The following is a 20,893-nucleotide window of genomic DNA, read 5'->3' as shown; positions in this document are numbered from 1 at the left end:
AAATTGCAATCTGTGGTCCTGGGTGTAAAGATTAGCTTCACTCCAAAGCATTCCCAAATAGAATAACTTCAAATGCTAAACTTTTCTTTAATATTCCTTATGGACAAAGAGATTCTATAACAACTTGAGGAAAAAAACCTATTCTATGTTGTGTGAAAACGTTAAAGATATTTTTATCTATAAAACTACAATTATTATCAAGGGTTTACTAACCCATTTAGGATTTTAGAATCTTTCCTGTCTCATTTCAGCATACGGTACTTTTTGGCTAAATACATAAACTCATTATAATTTCAACACAGAATTTTTTACAGCAGCAGCAGTAGCACTCCCAAACATGTAAAAACATGTTACAGGTTATAAAACAGCAACAGATTTCAAGTGCAGTCAAAGTAATCTCAGATTAAAACTGGCAGCAAGTCCTAATAAGCACATTCACCCAAAAAATAGCATTAGAGATTGGACTGGTTATTAAAAACAAAGAAGGAAAATAGAAATAGGACATGAATGTAGCATAATACAAATACACACACACACACACAAACACAGCGAGACAGAGAGAGAGAATATAGTATGCATAGGTATTAAAATACATATATATTTTAGCAGACAGAAAATCCCAAACAGCCCTATAGGAAGCAGGTATCTCTCTCTCACAGAACTGCTTTCATTTTGACCCAAATTTGCTGGCTTACTTGAAATGATTTTACCTTTCTCATTACAAATTCATTTAAAGTAAAACTGTAGAATCTTGAAATTTAGAGCATCAAAAATTATTTATCTTAAGGGAATGAATTCTGCCATTATTTAATTTCATATACTATTTCTTTTCTTTTGTCATTTTTTGGTGTTAAATTTTGCAAATTTAGTCTAATGCCAACCAGTGATCTGCCTGGGAAACTTGCCTTAGCAGGCAGATGTCCAGATCAAAAAATAGCCTAGCCTATCTTTATGGAAGAAATATACACAAACATTCACACATCATACAAAACAAGGTTGAAATGGGTGGGGCCACTTGATTGACGTCCATTTGTCACTTTCATTGGAAAATTTCATGGGCAGCTTCCAATATGCTTAGACAAATTTAGATGAATGAAAGCGCTGACTAATGATGCTATTATCTATATACCAAATATAGAAGAAGGCCTGAAAACTCTGAGTTGCTCATGTGAACTACTAAAACGAGGGGGGAGGAGAACTTAGAAAAATGAGAAAGATATATGTTAAGACAGCAAATTAATGAAAAGAAATAGCATTCAGATATGTAAAATGATAAAAGATCTTAGTGTATTCAACAGGGCCAAGTCTTTAAGAATTGCAAAAAATGCATTATCTACCATCTTTTTAGCAATAAAATTATTTTAACCATCAATAACTAAGGGTTGTTATTTTAGGAGAATGAAGTCAATACATTTGTTTCCCTGAGGCAGGCAGGGGCAGTATTGTGCTATTCCTGAACTTCATTAATATTCATTAATTTTTAAAGCAGTTTGGTTAGCTTTGGCTATTATCTATGCAGATATTTTGCCTTTAAATAAAAATAATGACAAGAACTTCATTATTTAAAAATGTAATTAGCATGAAATTCAAAACCTATGTTTTCATTAGTGGACACTATTCACTGGAAAGTATATATTTTTCAGAAAGATCTGTTTTAATTGAATTTCTAGGATAAAATTCTAAAAGTCATGCTGACTAATATAACCTAAATGTAACTGAAATTAAACTGAAAATACTTTACAAATTTTTCAAATCAATCTCCACTTTAAAGAACACCATAGTTGACCCAATTAGTTCTGCAAATGAATTCAGTTGTTTGACATTCTTCAGCATTTCACAGTAGACTATTTTCACCCATCCAGCGCCTTAGATCTCTAAAGACCCCAATGCACATTTAGTGATATTTACCTTATGAAGTAACTAAATCCAGATGAGCATAGAGCTCACATCACTGTAAAAAGAAATTGTTTCCTCGTGCTTCCCACTCCCATTCCGGAACTAGAAACTGAAAACTCTGAAAATTATCCTTGTGCAAGTAGGGAATTTCAGACAGAAATGCAAAATAGTTTTATTTGTAAATAAGCCCAACCATAGGAAGCATACAATACCTTGTTCTGCGAAAGGCCTCCAGTCTTTGTAAATCAGGCTTTTTACACTATGACAGATGAACAACCAGGGCAAATAATTCATGCACATGGAGTTGGAAATGGAATTCTCCACATGTCCTTCATTCACCTGTCCACACTGAGGTCCAATATGTTGAGTAGTACTTTGTGGACTATAAGAAAATAAGTAAATAGAAATACCACCCGAAGAACAGGAGTCTGAATAAATAATTAAGGGAAATTTTTGAGGCATGGCCAAGGGGAAAATTTTACCGTAGTGAATAGCCAAACTTTTCAAAAAACACATTTCTCTCTGCCCTGCCACCATCCCCCCACCGTGTGTGTGTGTGTGTGTGTGTGTGTGTGTGTGTGTGTATGTGTGGGCGCGCGCGCATTTAAGGACTGCCTGCTCTATAACTGTATTTTAATGCATTTGATTTCTGTTTGTCCAAAGTACCTTCCAGTTTCAAGAAACGCCCCGGTTATATTTTCTTCAGATTTTGTTTTTTTGTTTAAGGTAAGCTGGCCCCTTAAGACTGATACAATTTTCCAGTTTAGGGCAGTTTGAAAAAGAGGAGAAAGCATCTTGCTTCTTGCTATTGAAGATACATGACTGTAGACCTAATTTTCCTAAAAACATACTCACTAACAGATGACCAACAAGAAGAGAAAATTCAGCTCTTCGCTTCCTAAATGGATGAAACCTGCCTCCCCACTCCCACAATATCATAGTGGGATAATGAGTAATATTAATCTCTTCAGAGATATTTACTCACTCCGACTTATTTTTGAAGAGTAGAGAAGAATGTGGCTGCACCCACAGGTGGACAGATACTGAACTCTCTCAGCCGCCCCATCTGCCTGGACACCACGTGGGGTATTACCGCAACCCCCTTTCTGTTCTCCCCTGTTTGAGTGCAGTACTAGTGGCTTTCCGAAGCAGATACAAAGTTATTATCAGTGTCTGAAGTTCCAGCCCCTCCACAAAAGCCTGTGGCCCCCAAGTAGCACCCCTTCATGAATGCCTGTGTCTCAACTCTGCAAGGCCGACCTTGTCCTCTCCATCATCTGAGCAGGATTGACCCTGTCCGGGTAAAACTATGGAATGGAAAGTGTTAATCAGAGTCCCCAGGCGCTGGTGGAGCACCTGGAGCGTCTCAGCAGGGGAGCAACTGGAAACCACAAACATCAAACTGTGTTGCTGCAACTTGAACTAAACGCCGAGACCTGGCTGAGGAAGTCAGTTAAGTTTAGACCAAATGGTCTTAATCAAGGATACCAGAAGAGACCTCTCAAAGACAGAAATGATGGTGCATCCCTGCCCTCCAATCCTATGGAATTTTTTTTAATGTTGCAATTTAAGTCTCAGAATACATTTTATGACCCCAATGCCCTTTATTCCGAAAGATGCCGTGAGATGTCTGCAGAAATGTCCTGCAGGAGTGTGGAGAGCACAGTGGGCGTCCCGGCCCTCCCAGCTTTGCCTCGCCATCACTTCCATATAACCTTTGTTGCGGGGTCGGGGGACCCAAAGCCACCTTCGCCCCTGTCCGTACATCCTCCAAACAAGCAGCAGCCAAGAGGCTGCAGGACCCACTCGCCGGCCCCCAGCCCCAGCCGCCTTCCCGCCCCCAGCTCTAGCTGCCCGCCTGCCGCCTCCGCTGCCCCTTCCTCACTCCCCACCCGGGGGGCCGTCTCCCTTATCTCCATCCGCCCACCCCCCCGCCCACCCCACAGGCACTCTCAGACCCCACCAGCACATTCCTAACAGCTCCAGCTTTCCAGGAAAGCAAAAAAAAAAAAAAAAAAAAAAAAAAAAAAGACCACAACATCACGGGCAGGTTTATTTGGGTTTGTTTGTTTGCTTGTTGGCTCGATTAAATACTCGTGGAAGGTGAACGTACCCCACACAGGAGAAGTTTGATGTTGACAAACTTCTGGTGGCAGCGAGACTGTGTCAGCACAACTTCCGGGATAATGAGAGCTGCTTTGCAGGGAGCGCGGCAGCCGCGGCGGGAGGCGGCCGCAGGACGGAACAGCAAATGCTATTCAGCCCGAGCAGTTTCAAGCCGCCCGAGCTGGGGAATTACTGTAGTCGAGCTACGGCTCCTACCACCGGCGCTGGATCTGGGCGCGCGTTAGGGGGGGAAGCTGCAGGCACAGGGCGCCGAGAGGGGAGCTTTCAAGTTACTTTGCTCCATCCCTGCACCCGGCAGAGGCTTGCAGGCTGCGTGGTAACTGCAAACATCTTGTTCCCTGCTTCTTTGGGCGGTCGCCCTGGAACCAACCAACTTTTCTCTCCCCCAAAACTCCCTCTTTGTTTCAAATAGGACTCTCCAAAATTTATTCTTGGGAAGACTGACAGCCGGGGTCAAGAAACAGCTGTTGAAGTTAATGTTTCTTCCTCCCACTTCGTCTGATGGTTGTGCCCTGCCAAGACAAAGTGAGAGGCACTGCCTGGTGGCTTCTTTAAACAGACATGCATTTAGCCAAAAAGGGTTGGGGTGGGGGTATATTTTCCTGCTTAACATACAATCTGATCAGAAATGCAACAGCATGTGCCTTTCAACTTGTGCTGATTACTTGCTGAAAAGATGCTGTAGCTTTTAGTTTTGAACACTTTGAGCATTGGGGGCGGGGATGGCGGGAGACTTAGTGGTTGACACTTTCCATGTTTTGGTAAAGGGGCTAAAATTTTAAACCTTCCTCCCTCTGATCCACCTCTGGCCCTCTAAGAAAGATAGAATGGCCTGGGGGAGGGAGAAAAGAGTTGCATTCCTTTGCAAGGTTTAAGTCACATTTCAAAATTCAAATCATTATGCAGAACAAGGGCTTGCCTAGAGCTAGGCAAACTGTTTTTATTTGGAGATGACCTAGGCCAAACCTTGGAGAGTGCTGGAGCTCCTGGTGGCTTTCTCCACACTAGGCCTGTGTCGTCTCTCCTTTCCCAATCCAACTCCTTTTCCCTTACTCAGAGGGCATATTCTAGGGGGAAGCTGCCCTGTTCTTTGTGCTGCCTTCTCCAGGTGAAGGCTGATGTTAACACTGCTCTTCCTCCCCTTAGCGTTTTAGAGCCCCTGTGAACTGCTGAGAGGCCCCTTGGGATTGTCCTCCAGAGTTTCCCTCTCCTAACTGAGCATCTCCCAGGCATCTAGCCCTCTGTCGTGGGGGTGGGTGGACGGGAACTCTATTCCTTCCACATCAGAGAGCTTAACCACTCTTCCAACCCACCCATTCTCCTTTGGGAGTGCCGGGCTCATTTGGCCTCTCTCAGATGAAATCATATGAAGACATAAAAGGCCTTCCCTCTCCACCACCAGGTTATCCTGTCACCACATCGCAATGCAGTGCCATCACAAAGTGATATTGCATCAGGCCCAAGGATATTTTAGGAAGCTCTCAAGCTGGGTCCAACAAGCCTTCCATGCAGGCATCAGGACCACACTGCCAAATTCAAGGCTGCAGAGCTGCTGGGCAGGTGTCAGTGATGTCCTCTCTAGTCTCAGCTATTCTCTTCTCTATTCTCTACTCCACCTCCCCCACCTGCATGCCTTCCACCAGGCAGGTCCACTTTCAGACTCCCCCAATACTCTCTTTGCCCAGCTCCCAGAGGCCACTACTTTTGCTTTTCCTCCTGTTTTCTTTGCAAAGTGTTCCAGCACACCTTCTGATGTATTTCCTGTTTTTCTGCCTATCATGGTCACTCACTGAAACCTTAATTAATATTTGCTCATATTAACTGTAAATCAACTAAATTACACTTGGAGCTGCAATGGCTGCAGCACACACAGTCTCCAATTTGGGTGTCTGCATGCCACAGGCCTCCCCAACTTGTTGGACTTGGGTGAACTTTTCTCATTCCCTCAGACTCTGGATCTCCCAGCTTGGTTGGCACAAGGGCAGCGGCCAAGAATCCAGGCACCACCCTCAGCAAGTGCCCCTTCTCTGAGTCCTGCTAATGCAATCCAGCAGCCAATTGACTTAAATTCCTTCCGCTTTATTGTTCTCCATCCTCAGAGAGGCCAATCTCAGCATCTAGCGGGGCTGTGAGGCAGACCTCCTCTGATCCTGGAGTTGTAATCCCCCACTGCTGGCTCCTGCAGTTTTATTACAGCCTCCTTTTTTTCTAAGATTGACAGATATAAACCTCCAGTGTGGAGGCCTGCAACAGCACCCTTAAAGGCTTCTTTGTGTAGAAATGTAACCTTAGGGCAAAGTCGGCCCAGCTCCAGGAAGGGCACATTATCCTGCTACAGGGAAGTACTGTGCTGAGACAGACCTGGAGATTTCTTCTAATGGCTGGGGACCTGGGAACCTCCCAGGGACAATACCTTCTTCCTCTAAGTAGAATATAGGCTTGTCTAATTTTACTGGGAGTGGGAATGGGGGTGGGGGACATTGAAGGGAAGGGGATGCTGGAAGAGACCTGTAATGACTGTTCAGGGAACTCCACATGCAATTGGAAGAAACAGATATCCTTTTTTTCAGGGAGCGGGTCTCTAAATGCAACCACTTATGAAGCCCCCATGAGTGGAAGCACTGTCCGAGTCAGAGGGAGTTAGCACCATTTGCTTCTCTTGGAGCTGATGCTACGGTTTCCATTCCCAAGCAGAATGGCTTTGGATCATTTAGAGGATCTGATCTCTTTAGGCAGGTGTTGGGTTAGACACATTATTCCAAAAGCAAGGGTGAAAAGGTGCAGAATCTTAATTTACCATGCAGGATTATAGTCAGATTTAAATCAGGTAGAATCATTAAGGGATTTAGAGCCAGAGTCTTTTTCCAAAGAGAAAAAGGACTGAATAATTCTCTTTCGTTGAAGTATAGTGAGGTCAGGAGTGTAGCATCTTACGCTTGGGGTTTTCTTCCTCTAGCTTTAAAAGGTTGGCTTATACTTTCAGTCAGTCAATTAGAACAGTAATAGAGTATCAAATGTATATGATTAGGCATTAACTTCCATATAGACTAGTGCAAAAACTAAGAGATGAAGGTGTGTACCTGTCATTACAAAGGGCCCCCTATGGGAACTGGGACGGCACCTTGGTTAAGGGACAAGTGAGATGCAGCTAGTTAGAAAAGATGAATTTGGAATCAGGAGAGGTAAGAAACACATGAATACAATTTCTATGGAATCTAGTTGAGATGTGGGTGTTGAGTCCTACAGCTCCAGGAGCTGGAGTTACTAGTATAGAGAGGTTAACACAATGCTTTTAGTCAAAGTTTTTGAAATACATATTCTCACAGAGTCAAGAACATGGACAGTGCAGGAAATGGAAAGGAGAAGATATCTTCAGATGGTATTTGAGATTACAGAATGTGGACAGAAATAAAAATACATATGCAATTATTTTTCCCCTTCCCTTTTCCTCCTAAATCTAGGCAGGAGTTTAACTTTGGATTGAAAGGCTCCCTGTTGTTCTTCCTCCTCTAGCTTCTCCTCTAGTTACCCCATCCACACTCCAGTTCTGGTTTTGAGCAGAACTGCAATTGTCCTTTGTACGGAATTGCATGAAATCCTGTGCTGGTTTTCTAATGTGGGAAAATGTCTACTAGGGAGGCTAAGACCACCAAACTAGTTTCATTATAACCCAAGGTACACTTAAATCCAGCCCTTCAGTGGTGGGCAACTGGCCCAGCAAAGTCTTCCTCTATAGTACTCATTAAAATGTTATTTACATTTTACAATATGGTCCCAAGCCATAAGTCGGGATTTTATCTTGGCAAATAGAAAAGAATACTCTTGTGACACCTGGGCCTGCAAAGTTTTAACTTATACGATGGACCCGTTGGTGATTTGCAAAACAAGATCACAGCATTTGAGAATGAGACCTTCATCCCATTTTGGTTCAGAGAAGTGAGGAAAAGGGAGGAATAAATGAAAAACATATGATCACAAATTTAAACTTATCAGCCAAATACATATTAAATTTACCTACCTCTTAAAAGTGGATTTAATGTGTGTCAAAAGTACAAAATGAACAACTGAAGAAAGCACATTTTATACTTTAGTCCTGAACCTACAGCAAAGGTAGAAAGTCTTCATAACTACACCCATTCTCTTTGCCTTAGAACTCTCATTCACATGACCAGATTCATTCCAGATCAACAACAGTACCACTAATCCCAGTCTCTTTTCGGTAAACCAAACTGTCTGAATTCTTACCTCAACAAGTCAAATTAAATTAACATTTTAATGATATGTTTCTGCCATTGTTCATGCTTCATAAAGTAACTTGCTTTATTTGACTCAAGGCAACAAGGCTAAACAAGCAGTTTTAAAAAATGGATCTTTGCCAGGTCTGGAAATTCAGTTTCCTTGAGTTCTTCTGAGACAGCAAAGATTCTTCAGAGACTATAAGCCCAACTGTACAATGCTACCACATTTCCAAGACTACCATTAAGAATTACAGATAGCACCAGTTATAAGAACAATTTTTTGCAACATCCTCATGAAGTCTAAATGAAAATCAGAGGCCATTTCTCAAATGGCAATAGGCCAAACATCTAAGGCCTCTGGAGATGCTTGACATCTTGCCATGTGTCATCACAATCAAATCCTGGGTGGGGTATTCTCATCTGAGTTTCACTGACTACCAGTAAGGGGCATGTGCAGAATAATAAATGATTCAATGATTAGTGCTCCAGTTAGAACCTAATGTGCCTAATAACATTCCAGGGAAGAGAGGATGGGAAATATATATCAAAGATGGCTTCAGCTCTTCGCCTGTCAACAGCCTGGTGATAGCGGGTTGGGGAGCCACCTTAATTCAGTGGTTTGTATGATTCTGGCATTATTGTGATTGCTATGTGGAACTCTCAGCTGAAAACAATTGAGTCCTTTCTCATCTGCAGAATGGTGAACAATGAGGTCAACTGCAGAGGATTTTTTAAAAGAAAAATTTAGGGGAAAGCAACTGCTTCCCTGACCCGAGAGAGCTTTTGTTGCCAAACAGCAATTTCAGACCCTAGCAGTGACACAGAACATTTGGTTTACTAAAGATGCCTGCCTCCCAAAAGATCACAGTAATATAAAATATTCTTTTTTTCCGTAACCAACAGGTAAAGCCGGAAGTTTTCTTGCCATCCATTTTCCAAGAAGACATGTGCCAGGCTATAGAGAAATGTCTCTGTACACAGAGACCCTCCAAATTTCTAAGTATATCAAGCAGCCGTCAACATTGTGCACCTAATTGTACTCTAAATATTAATCTAATCATGTAATTATCTAAATATAATCATGCAAATTAATAAATGCCATCACTTTTCAACACAAGCACTAACAGTTGACTTTCTTTACAGGGCCATTTTTCACAAAGAAACAAAGTTATTATCTCTTCACAGGATTTATTGCAGACATGACAATTAAAGAAAGCTGTAAGATCTTGCTTGTGATGTGAATACCAGGTGGATGGCTGGGCCCACTCACTAATCAAGTGATTTGTTCTCAGACAATAATGTTTAGGATTCTGATGCTTGCCTCAGCAAAATGGCAAATTATTATTTTTCAGAGACCTTTGACATTGTCCATAAATCATTGCAATGTTCAATGCTAAGTCCTCACATTCTCAGAGATAAAGAGAGCAAAGAAGGGAAAAATAATTTATAGCTCATTGTCTTAGTTCCTTTTGTGCTGCTATAACAGAATACCACAGACTGGGTAATTTTTATAAACAATAGAAGTTTATTTGGCTCGAGGAGCTGCATCTGGTGAAGGCCTTCTTGTTGCATCATTCATGGTAGAAGGCATCACATTGGCAAGAGAGAGTAAGAGATCAAACTCACTGCCTCAAGCCCTTTTATAATCAGCATTAATCCATTTATGAGGGTTCACCCTCATGACCTAAATACTTCCCATTAGGCCCATCTCCCAACACTACTGCATTGGGGGTTAAGTTTCCAACACGTGCTTTTTGGGGGACACATTTAAACCGTAGCACTGATTATTCACAAGTTATTTTCCATTATTTTAGGATGCTGAGAATACTTTTTAAAAACTTTTCAAGGCAATGACTTCCAGAAATTTTCTATGAAAGAGGAGTAGTTTGCATTTCACGTACCATCCCAACAGTGGATATAAGGCCCAGTTTCTTTTCACTCTACAAGAACAAAGGCAGAAAGTGTTACCTGCTAATGTGTTTCAATTCTGCCCTAAAGGGATTATTTCCAGGAGTGGAAAGGAAGACCATGTCTACAGAAATCTTGGCAACCTCTTATCCAGAAAGACTGTAGAGATTTCACGGATAGCGATGTTGTTTGGCAGGAGGTATTACCTTCCTCCAAATTCCATTTACGCAGCCGGTTTCCTCTTTTCTTCTGGGGTAAACTACACAGTAAATATACACATTGATTAGTACCATGCTGAACATCTCTTCCTTGCACAAGAGCGATCTGGTCATCCTTTGATCTCAGACCCTAGCAGTTAGACAGTACATTTGGATAAAGGAGTGGATCTGAAAAATTAAGAATGCAGGCTCTGGAATCAGAGGTACTGGGTTTAAATCCTGATTCTGCTCTTAGCAGCAGAGTGTACCTGAGTTAATCTTAGTTCTTTGTTTATAAAATGAGGCAGCGATAATAATAATACATACCCTACTATTCACCATCACACTTCATGAGTATCCATGTCAAAAGCCCCCTGATACTCTCATCAAATCTGAATGGAGCTCTAACTGGCCTTTGAACCAATCTGTGGGTTTCCCTTCCTATGAAAAATAAAGAATTACATTTTTCTCTGAAGGTAAATATCTTGCACTCAGTCCTGACTCTCATCTAATGCTTAAACCCATAGAATACTAGGCAGCAGCAAAGACTAAGCGTCAGCTAGTCAGTTTCTCCACCATCACACAGCTGTGCCATCTTGGTCACTGAAGGCTGGATGCAGTTTCCCTATCTCAAGTGAAGATTTTCCTGAATTCTTAACTAAATTGTTAGCTTTTTGAGAGAAGCTAGAAGTCTTATAGATTCTTGTATTCCTCTGAGCACTAAGTGCAGCATAGTACCTTGAAAATAACAGATTCTCAACAAATGTTTGTGATTTGGTTATTTTGAAAATGAGCTCTGGGGTATTTATAACACAATAGGTTGCAATTGAAAAAACCTTTCACATCCCTTCAAAATGGGCTAATAAAAACTCTAGGAATACCCTGTTTGGACACTAATCAAATGACAGCCCATCTTCCTTTTTCCTTCCTGTCTGTCTCCCTCCCTCCCTCCTTTTCTTCCTTCCTCTCCTTCCCTTCCTCAACCTCCTCTTCCTTCTTCTTCTTCTTCAACTTTGGTTCTATTTCAGCTACACTAGTTTAAATATATGTATGTTATATATATTGGTCTCACTCTGTCACCCAGACTGTAGTACAGTGGTATGATCATAGCAGCTCACTGTAATCTTGAACTTGTGGGCTCAAGTAATTCTCTCACCTCAGCCTCCAGAGTAGCTCAGTCTACCAGCATGTGCCACCACATCCAGCTAATTTCTTTAAAAATTCTTTTGTAGAGACAATGTCTCGCTATGTTGCTTCAAGCGTTCCTCCTGCCTCAGCTTCCCAAAGCATTGGGTTTATAGGTGTGAGCCACTATACCTGGTCCACTAGTTAAAAATATTTTAAATTAGATTTTATCATATTCAAAAATGATGAAGTCATTTTCCCCACTCCCCACACATTCATCAGAAATGACTGCTAATAGTTTGGAGTATCTTCCAGGTTGTTTTATTTGTTTATATTTCTTATGCATATACTAACATTTGTTATTATTTCATAGAAACATGGTTATACTATTCATGTGGAACTTGTTTTTTATAGTTAGCAATGCATTGTGAATGTTTTTCCATGTCAATACACACCTAATTCCTCTCTAGTACTGCGTAGTACGGAAGTTTCTTATTATCCAGCTATTCATTATTATCTCAATCCAAGTAGTTGCTAAGTTGTGTAGGAAAGCAGAAATTGGTCATAACAGGAAAATATCCACTAATGAACTGACCACTTACTAAATTAGTCCTCACTTAAATAGCCCTCCCAACTTAATATCAGCCTCTATCCCCACTCAGCCAGTCAATTTTCCTGATTGCAGATGTTATAAACATCCCACAATATAATGTAAATAAAATGCATTTCAGTTGCAATGTAAAACTGCTACTCTTGCAAAAGATGCATGATTTTATAAAGCCATTGAAAATGATTTTGGAGAACTGTTCCATAAGCAAATGAATATCTAACAGTGTTAGACCAGTTAACAATTAAAGATGAGAAAAACAAGAATGATAACAGGATACATTTTTCAAAAGAAGAATTACTTGAATATCAAAGAATTAAGAGAGGGTCTCAGCAAAATTGATTAAGCCCTCACACTTTTCCTCAAGGTGACCCTTGTCATTCTGCTATATATAAAAGTCAGTGTGAAGTGAAGGGTGTCAAAATTTGCTTTCAAATAATTTTGTTAGAAAATGTATCCCCCCAAGCACCAAATCAACACTTGATTCATTCTTTGTTTACTCGAAAAATTAAATCATTGTTGCAACTACAGTATATGCTAAATTTATATATATATACACACACACACACATATATAGTCAAAGATAGCTCATGTTTAAATACAAGTAAGATCTTTACTTTTATTTTTCAAAACAGACTCAATCAAGCCTTTTTTTTTCCCCCATCTTTATTTTACAACACTACTCCCTATTTATTACTTTTGCAGCTTTCAACAGTCACAGTATGGCAAACAGAAGCAACAGACGTTGAAAATAAGGCTCCTAATAGACTAATCAGATTCTCTAGTTTTCTCTCCAGGAGGCATTTAGAAGCAAGACTCGCTGCTTTGCAAGGAGTAAAAGCCCCAGGGTGTTTGGACAATTCAGGGAGAGAGAAGAGGCCTTAAGAGAGGAGACAGGCAGTGGACTTCCTCTGGCACTAATCTGGCACATAGATGTTTGGGCCTAATGTAATTTGAAAAAATAAAAAAGATGTAACCTCATTTGTGTCCAAGCTGGTAAAGCAAGTTATACCAGTTAAATGTGTGTATATCAGGATTTATTTTTAGCAGCTACCTTCTGACTGATATTTGGGTCGTTTCCAATTTTTTGCTCCTACAAGCCACGTGGCAATGAGCAACCATGTACAAATATACCTTGGTGCGCTCGTATGAGTATTTCTGTAAGAAAAATTCCTAGAGGTGAAACTTCTGGGTTAGGAATAATGTATATTAAAAATGTTAACAGATTATTAGCAAATTGCCCTACTATTTTATGTCACCTACAGCATCTGCCAATGCCTGTTTCTCCACACTTTTCCCAGTGAAACTGTCACTTTTTGTCAATCTGATAGCAAAAAATATGCTATATTCATTGTTGTTTTCACTTTCAATATTATAAACTACTGATCTGTATGATAAATTTGCTACTACCTGCTTAGAATTTTTAGACTCTGGAAAAATCTGCATGATGGATGTAGGGAGAGATCATCTCTTTCTGGTAATGGGTGGGAGCTAAAAATTGAGCCCCACATGCATTCTTTTGTTTAAAACTCCTTCTTTGGAACTATTGTGGTCATTGCTTACACAAGGTAAAATGTTTATAGTCAGTAGTAGAAGATGGAGATGATGATTTTTGCAAATTTCTGATTTCAGGACAGTGAGATCCTTTTTTAGACTTCAAAATATGTGAAGAGATAAGGCCAGTAGGTTCTAAAACTGTATGTCTTGATGTCATCTAAGCCCACACTCTTTCCAACAGGCTTTTGGCCACTGACTGTGTAGCATTCTAATGGAAAAATTCTTATATGTATATATCGATGGACCTAAAAAAGAAAAGAAAAATAATCCACTAGAGTATACATTTGTTACAATGTAACAAAATCTATACACTTCAGATATGTGCATTTCACTAGGTATAAATGTTATATGAAAAAGAAACCGTGGATTCCTCAAAAAAATTAAACATAGAATTAGCATATGCTCCAGCAATTCCACTTCTGGGTACATACTCCAAATAAGTGACAGTAGGTACTCAGACAGATATTTGTACACCCATATTCACAGCAGCGTTATTCCCAATAGCCAAAAAGTGGAAGAAATCTAAATCTGCTCTGAAAAAAACAGTCTTGGAAAGAAAAGGTGGAGGCAGCCCAGGTGTCTGATAGATGAATGGTTAAACAAAATGTGATATGTATATACAATGGAATATTATTCAGTCTTAAAAAGGAAGGAAATTCTAACATGTGACAACATGGATGACCCTTGAAGACATTATGCTAAGTGGAATAAGAAAGTCACAAAAGGACAAATCTTGTATGATTCCACTTATATGAAGTATCTAGAGTAGTCAAATTCATAGAGACAGGGAGTAGTATGGTAGTTTTCAAAGGCAGAGAGGAGGGAAGAATGGATAGTTAGTGTCTAATGGGTGAAGAATTTCAGTTGGGGAAAAGGAAAAATTTTGAAGATAGGTGGTGGTGATGGTTTTACTACAATGTGACTGTACTTAATGCCACAGAAGTGTACACTTAAAAATTGTTAAAAAGGTAAATTTTATGTTGTGTATATTTTACCACAGTTAAAACTTTTAAAAACATAAATATTGAACTCTGGTGCTATGAATGCTGAAGTGTTTAGGAGTAAAATGCACTGATGTCTGCAACTTACTTTGAAATGTATCAAAATTTATAGGTTAAAAGAAGAATAAATGAATATGTGGTAAAGTTAATATAGCAAATGTTCATTATTGAATCTTGAGGTGAATACGTGGGTGTTCACTGTGCCATTCTTTCAACTTTTCTGTATGTTTGAAAATTTTTTAAATAAAATATCAAAAAATAACCTAGGCCAGAAATGACCTAGACTAAAAAAACGACTAGCAAATGAGTCTTTTAAAAGCAAACTCATATTTGCTTTTGTTAATTATGGGGGATAATTTTGCTATTGAAAGATCCTCAAGCAGAGTTAAGGAAATAGAACCTATTTTTGTTTGTTTTTAATAACTGTCAGAGAGGAACATTTATTAGACAAATATTGGACAGGTATTGATTCACAAGTGACTCCGTGATATTAAAAATGAACTCAATATCACCAAACTCGATAAGTATCTCTCTATATATATCAAAGGCAAGGGTCATAGTTCAGCTTTTTCTTCCAGTTGTAGGATTTGAGCATGTGCAGAGGCAAAGAATCCCAGACTACTCAAATGGAAAAGATGATGCAGATAGGTTGGCTGAAATGACACGCAACTTTAGACCATTTGAGAGACTGGAGGTCTTCCTGATAAATATTAGCTCACTGTAGAAGTATAGTAGATTATAAATAACAGCTCTTCATTTCCTCACGGAAACATTTTGGAGAGCTCCACATTCCTCTTCTTTGGTTCAATAAAAAGTAAACAGAGAAAGATGGCCTCTATTTCTGGGATCTCTTCATTGCAGGCATGGTTGGGCAGTTTTTATAACTATAGAAGCATGTGGTCATCCCATCCCAGCAACACTCTTACTAGATTGGAATAAACATCCAAAGTTTCAGTGGAGCAAACTGAATGCCTAAAGGACAAGTAGATAACCCTAATGAGGGATTCGGGCCAGTCCAAGTAGGGTTTATGGCCTCTTGAAGAACCCTCACCCTAACTAAGGAGGAATCCACGATTCAGTTCTAGCCAGTTGGCCCGTGATAGCCAGTTATGTCAGTTTTTTTAAGAGCAATATGAAACCTTTATTTCTATGTGAAATCTTCCCAATTTAAATGTGGGTAACTAATTCAAATGCTTTTCAGAAACATTGTATGGGTCACAAGAAACACGTTTATTGGCATGCTGGGGTCTGTGGGCTCCCTGTGTGTGACCTCTAACATATGTGAAAAGGATAGGACAGTCCCACTCTTCAGCACCAACATCCAGTAGAATCCAGATCCAGCATCCTTTAAGCTTTAGGGATTTTATTCTCATCTCCACTGTCCTCAGTTTCTCTCTTGTAGCTCAGGAATATGACTTTTTCATGCCTTTATCACTTTAAATAGAAAACAAATATTTGACCTCTGGAATGTTTGCAAAATTCATGCGGTAAATGAGTCTTGAAAGTCTACTTTGTTTCATGAATTTGTTTGCATCCCCAAAAAAAGAGGAATTGACAAAAATATATAATTCATGGAACCCTTAACTTATTTACAGGTAATGATCCCAAAATGTACGTGTTTGGAACTAGCATCATATTTCCCACAGTATGACAGCTATCACTTGGTGACTGCAAACTCCAGACCATTCACTGTATGAGGTGATGTATATATTTAGCTTCTATAATTCTCAAATCATTATCCCAAATTTACAGATGAGGAAACAGGCTCAGAACAGTTTCATAACTTGCCGAGCTGGTTAAGTGTTAGAGTCAAGAATTAAGCACATGTGGAGATCAGGATTCAAGGCCTGTTGTTCTCACAGTGTTCTACCTGGTATTAAGGCCCTCAGGACAGGCTACAAAATTACTACTGTATCCACAATGTACTTGCAGAACTTTCTAGTATTCTACTTCCAACAGAACCCAGCCTTGGGTATGATTATGCCACTTTTATTTTTTTAAACCTCCCTCACTTTTATGCAGGAAAAATATGTTTCATTACCTAAGTGGTGCATGGATATATTCTTGGTGTGAAACGTCCAAATGACACAGTAGCCTGCAGAGCAGCAAGAAAAATTCCCTTTGGCTTTCTCCCCAACCCCTGCTCCCACTCCCCTTCCTATCTCAGGCTCTACAACTATTAACAGTGTGACTTGTTTCTTCCAGACTTCTTCTATGCATCTACATACATTTATGTACATATATAAATATTCATGCAGCTATGTTTCTATGGTAAATGCATTCAGAATTCCACCTTAGGATGTCAGACACTTTTCTATTGTAGCACTGGCAACTTCCCAGCTCCAAGTCAATATGGGAGGACTTGCGAGTTGGAGGTGGGGGTTGAAGATGGCTGTATTCGTTATCTATTGCTACATAACAAATGAACCCACAGTTTATCAGTGTAAAGTAATGGACATTTATGATCTTGCACAGTGTCTGACGGTCAGGAATCTGGGAGCAGCTTAGCAGGATGGTTCCAGCTCAGGTCTTTCATGAGGTAGCATTCAAGATGTCCACCAGGGTTCTAGTCATTTTAGGGATTGCCTGGGGCTGGAAGATTTACTCCCAATTTGGCTCATTCAGTGATTACTTGCTGGAAGACCTCCATTCTTCCTTGGCTGTGGGCAGGAGTCCACAGTTCCTCACCAGGAGGTCCTCTTCATAGGGCTGAGTGATCTTATGACATAGCAGCTGGCTTCCCCCAGAGGGAGCAATCCACAACTTACCAGGAAGGAAGAAGCTGCAAAGGTCTTTAATGACCTGGTCTTGGAAGTCACAGACCCTCACTGCTGCTAAATTACATTTATTAGAAGAGAGTCACTACTCAAGGGGAGGGGAGTCATCTCTACCTTTCGAAGAGATGAGTGTTCAAGAATTTGTGGACATATTTTAAAACCACTGCAAGGGAAGAAAAATGGAGAGTGGCAGAGTGTAAGATCAGGGTGTAATGTAATAGTCTGAGTAACAGGGAGGAAAGCAGAGGTGCTGAGGTCCTGAGATAACCGTGTAGAGAGAGCCTAAATAGTGTGGCTCTCTCCTGGCTGTACATTTGAATCACCTGGGGACACTTAAAAAGTCCTCATGCCCTGGGCCCCACTGCAGATCAATTAAATCTGTAGTTCTGGGGTTGAGGACAGGTATCAGTATTGATTAACAGCTCTCCAAGTGATTCTAATGTGCTGCCTGAGTTGTGAACCATGTAACAACAGAGGTGCTAGAGTCGGGCTGTGTCTGGGCTCAAGTCTCTGTTATGCCAATTAAGTAGCTGTGTGTTCTTAGGCAAGTTCATTAGTTTTTCTGTGCCTCATCTGTACAATGGGCATATGAATAGTACTTCCTCATAGGGTTGTTGTGAGGATTACCTGGGTTAATACCCCATGTAAATTGCTGGGAACTGTCCTGGGCGTAGTAAGTGCTGTTTCAATGTTATTATTGTGATTATTAGCAGCATACAATGGACTTTTCCTCCCTCCTGCTCCCGCTTCCCTAGTGCCTCTGCCTGGAGAGGAGTTTGGCTTTCTGTGCCCCAGCTCCCTCCCTTTCCCTTGAGAAGGCACAGTGGATGCCCAGCATCCTGCTCAGTCTGCAAGCTCAGTCTGCAAGCCCTCAGGCAAGTGCCAGGAAAACTGAGAAGCTGAGCTGCTGGGCTCAGCTAATGGTGGGCTTCGCTGCAGAAGGATCTCCTTCATACTGGGAGATGGACAAAAACATAGCACCCCAGGGGGCAATGAGAGGAAGGAAAATTCCCCCTCAGCCTCACAGGAGCAGGGGGCTGCACTCACGCCTTGCAATTTCTTCAAGGACCTTTCCCAATCTCAATTTCTCTGAACTCTTATAATATCAGTATGGTCCTTAAGTTACGTGCTGTCTTTTGTATTTATCTATTTACCTTTTGCATTTTCTCTCCTTCAGACAGTGAAGCAAGGGCTATGTCTTCCGGGGGAAGTGTCTGTAAAAGAAGGGAGGGGAAGATGAAGAAGGAACAGGGGGTGTCCTGTTTAGATTATAGACGCCTCTTTAGTCTTGAGAATTGTATATATGTCAGTGGAAAATGTACTCTGCTTCTTATTAATGGCTTCCCCTCTCCCCTCCCTGTATCACTACCTCTCTAAAACACCCTTTCTCCTGACCACCATTTTTGTGGAAAAATAGCATGAGTGTTCTTTCTGTTGCCTTTTACAGCAGAGGTTAATAAATTGCCACTATTACAGGGTATTCCAGCTGATATTGATGAAGCAGGTACAGAAATAAGCTAATGGGTTAGCTCCTATAGAGAAATGTGTTTCCCAAGCATAAAAGCACGATTTTGTGGGAAAGTAGACTGAGTTTTTTCAAGCCTACTAAGACAGATGGAAGGGGACAAAAGAATAAAGAATAAAATAATTAAACTATGAAACAATTGTTGATAAGACTCCTATATGATTTTTTGCTCTCCATTATTAAATTAATCTTGATTTGAATAGGTTATATCTCAATTTTCTGTTTTTTGGGTTTTTTTAATCCCCTCTGTTCTTTAGGTTTATGATTTGATCCTAAAAGTTAAAGGTCTTTTTAATAAAATATATTAAGCAAAACATATTTAAAGTCCCTGCTGTTGATTAAGTGTGCTTTTACAGTAAATGTGAGTGACAAAAGAGAACGTGATATTAATAGTTAAGCCTATGGCAGTAAGGTGCCTAATTTCAATAGCACTTGGGTTTAGTTTTAGAATATAGAAATGAACCTCTGACTAAAAATTCTAGGTAGGTGGTACCTGAACCCATGTGTATCAGTGGTGTAAGCATCTAAATGCTGAAAAGAGAGCATCTAGATCCTGATTTCTCCTGGCTCAGTTCATTCATTACTGCCAAAGTAGGAAATCCTGGATTTTAAGCCTTATAAGCTAGGAATAAAATTAGCCCCCAAATAAAAATTATTCTAGAGAAATACAGTCTTGATGGTTGAGGTTATAATAACTGTTACTTACATAAATAGCTGATTTTATTGGCCTGGTTAAATGATTCCCATGTGTCCTTCTGAAACTTTCTGCAGTCACTCTCATTGACTGCCATCTCAGCTATTAGAGAAGAAAAAATGATGAACTCAAGACTTCTTCATCAATGAGCTCAGCCTGTAAGATAATAAAAGGTTCAGTGAGCACCACTGACCTTCCCAGGAAAGCTACCAGCGTGAAAACTGAAGGAACATGGCACAGACACACAGCAGTAAAATTCAAGAGACTAAAATAAACTCAGTGAGCCTGCCTGGTCGCTAAACACTGAATACATTTAAGTGCTATTTTGACAAGAGAGCATGGCGGCTATTTAAGAATTTCATTTTTAAAACTCTAGTACAATTTTGTTCTCCTAACAGCATCATCCTGTGTCTGTGTTTGTTCCCAGTGAGGTCATTATTAAGTGAATTGAATTATTGTTCTGTTCAAATGACCTGTGCATTCAACAATGTGTGCTGAGCTCCAGCAAGAAATGTTTTATGTATTATTGGGAGATGGCCATCTGTGGCACAAACCGGGCCTCCCAACATGCAGAAATGTTGGGAGATAGTTTATGTTCAGTTTTATCTATGATCTGAATTCCATTTATAAGCTTTTTTCATCCACTTGTCAACACTGTTCACTATAGCAACACTGAAAATGGCCAGAAATGAACAGATTTATCAGAGCAATGTGAGGTCAGACTGTATGTTTCAATTATTGTATATTGAATTTTTATCATACATTTTAAATTTTGCCCATAAAAATAGTAACAATGTAATAAAAATGGAATTACTTTTCTTTGATCAACTTTCAGTTATTATAAGTTACAAAGTGAATAAGCTAGATTTCATGACTTTTATTAGATAATGGGTCTCACATTAGATATGTATATTTTAAATATAACATTGGTTGTCCATGCCAAGAACTGTGGATTAATTTTTTTCAAGTCTGAAGAACATTGCCTTTCCCGTTCCTGCATATGTAATAGAACAGCATGGCAATATGTGAAATTAAATTTTAAAATTGTAGATTATATTTAAGCCACACCCTCCCAACCTTTTCATATCTTGTTAAAGTAAACTTTTGATAATTCTACTGGCATGTTAGACCAAATGAATGATTTTACATAAGGTAAATATACCCGGATATTTGCTGTACAAAATGAAAAGATTTTTAGATATCTTTTTCTGTTGGTTTTATTGTTGTACTGATACCTTAAT

At 39.9% G+C, this 20,893-nt stretch overlaps 2 long non-coding RNA genes across 3 annotated transcripts in view, besides 3 other annotated features; both read right to left on the bottom strand.

The window, feature by feature from the left end:
- LOC124901018 (uncharacterized) overlaps nucleotides 1-2,941 on the bottom strand; it is a 48,297-nt gene extending 45,356 nt beyond the window's left edge. For both annotated transcript variants that reach the window (XR_007058843.1, XR_007058844.1), the window contains exons 1-2: nucleotides 2,882-2,941; nucleotides 2,109-2,278 (exon numbers count right to left, since the gene is read on the bottom strand). This is a non-coding gene — a long non-coding RNA (uncharacterized LOC124901018). The remainder of the gene's footprint in view (nucleotides 1-2,108; nucleotides 2,279-2,881) is intronic.
- Nucleotides 3,398-4,248: an enhancer, noted in NCBI's record as "NANOG-H3K27ac hESC enhancer chr5:81147710-81148560 (GRCh37/hg19 assembly coordinates)". NCBI's record gives its function as "activates a minimal SCP1, AML or CMV promoter by ChIP-STARR-seq in naive H9 embryonic stem cells {active_cell/tissue: H9 hESC(naive)}" and the evidence as "EXISTENCE:reporter gene assay evidence [ECO:0000049][PMID:30033119]".
- Nucleotides 4,114-4,173: a silencer, noted in NCBI's record as "silent region_16147". NCBI's record gives its function as "represses an Ori minimal core promoter by ATAC-STARR-seq in GM12878 lymphoblastoid cells {active_cell/tissue: GM12878}" and the evidence as "EXISTENCE:reporter gene assay evidence [ECO:0000049][PMID:35858748]".
- Nucleotides 16,012-19,804, bottom strand: LOC107986385 (uncharacterized). The gene is made up of 3 exons (XR_001742519.2): nucleotides 19,665-19,804; nucleotides 18,588-18,647; nucleotides 16,012-16,090 (listed from the first exon to the last, which is right to left on the bottom strand). It is a non-coding gene; the product is annotated as an uncharacterized LOC107986385 (long non-coding RNA).
- Nucleotides 17,597-17,676: an enhancer, noted in NCBI's record as "active region_22733". NCBI's record gives its function as "activates an Ori minimal core promoter by ATAC-STARR-seq in GM12878 lymphoblastoid cells {active_cell/tissue: GM12878}" and the evidence as "EXISTENCE:reporter gene assay evidence [ECO:0000049][PMID:35858748]".
- Nucleotides 19,805-20,893: the final 1,089 nt, after the last annotated feature.

Source organism: Homo sapiens, chromosome 5 (genome assembly GCF_000001405.40).
Source record: "Homo sapiens chromosome 5, GRCh38.p14 Primary Assembly".
In the NCBI taxonomy this organism is placed as follows: Eukaryota; Metazoa; Chordata; class Mammalia; order Primates; family Hominidae; genus Homo; species Homo sapiens.
Note: the sequence above shows the minus strand (reverse complement) of the source record. Positions and strands in the feature narration are given on the sequence as shown.